Here is a 1,318-nt window from a genome sequence, read left to right on the forward strand (position 1 = left end):
GATGAAGTAGGGTATGTAGTAATATTCAGGAGAGGGGCTTACAAAGAATCACCCAGCTAGCAGCAAGGCGAGGTGTCCAACAGAACTGTGCCTCCTCAAGCTCTTCCTGTGGAATGAGGCCAGCTGTGGAAATCCTCATGGAGTGCAAAGGGCAGAGAGATTCCTCAGATGAGAAAACAGAAAGGAATGAGCAGATGCTGCCCTGCAGCCAATAGCTCTATTAGGAAACTTTCTCTAAGTATCTTGGAATCAGTAACAAGATTGAATTTTAGATTCAAGCATACATAGCAGTCTTTTAATTTAAGAGACATAACCCTGAAGATTGATCCTGAGGATGGATGCAGAGGATCGGCCATCAGGGGGAAGAATGCAGACTGCAGACTGCTGTCGTTCTGTGTGTCAAGATAAATAAGAAGATAATAGGCCGGGCACGGTGGCTCACGCCTGTAGTCTCAACACTCTGGGAGGTCAAGGCGGGAGGATCACTTGAGCCCAGGAGTTCAAGACCAGCCTGGGCAACATAGGGAGACCCTTGTCTCTACATAAAAATAAAAAATAAAAAAATAGCTCTTCCCTTTTGTGGCCATCACCAAAGCGGCAGTGGCCAAAGTGGAGTTCAATCCCTTTGTGACTTCTGATCGAAGCAAGTACCACAAAAGGCATTTCAATGCACTTTCCCACATTCTCAGAAATATTAGGTCTTCCTCTCTTTGCAAAGAGCTGAGACAGAAGTACAATGTTCAATCCATGACCATCCGAAAGGATGATGAAGTTCAGGTTGTACACAGGCACTACAAAGGTCAGCAAATTGGCAAAGTAGTCCAGGTTTACAGGAAGAAATATGTCACCTACATTGCACAGGTGCAGCAGGAAAAGGCTAATGGCACAACTGTCCACATAGGCATTCACCCCAGCAAGGTGGTTAGCACTAGGCTAAAACTGGACAAAGACTGCAAAAAGATTCTTGAACGGAAAGCCAAATCTTAGCAAGTAGGAAGGGAAAGGGGCAAATACAAGGAAGAAACAATTGGATAAAGGAATAAAGGAATCTTGTATACAAGCTTTCATCAAAACTTGAAAAAAAAAAAAATAGCCAGGCACGGTGACATGCCTGTGGGCCCAGCTACTGGGGAGACTGAGGCAGGAGGACTGCTTGAGCCTGGGACATTGAGGCTACAGTGAGCTGTGATCATGCCACTGCACTGCACAGCCTGGGTGACATAGTGAGACTGTGTCTCAAAAAAAAAAAAAGAAGAGGAAGAAGAAGATAATAATAACACATGGTGTTTAGACCTGCTCTGTGCCTTGCATTGTACTC

General features: G+C 45.0%; 1 pseudogene; it reads left to right on the forward strand.

The window, feature by feature from the left end:
- RPL26P24 (ribosomal protein L26 pseudogene 24) lies at window positions 568-1,084 on the forward strand (annotated as a pseudogene).

Source organism: Homo sapiens, chromosome 7, assembly GCF_000001405.40.
Source record: "Homo sapiens chromosome 7, GRCh38.p14 Primary Assembly".
Classification (NCBI taxonomy): Eukaryota; Metazoa; Chordata; class Mammalia; order Primates; family Hominidae; genus Homo; species Homo sapiens.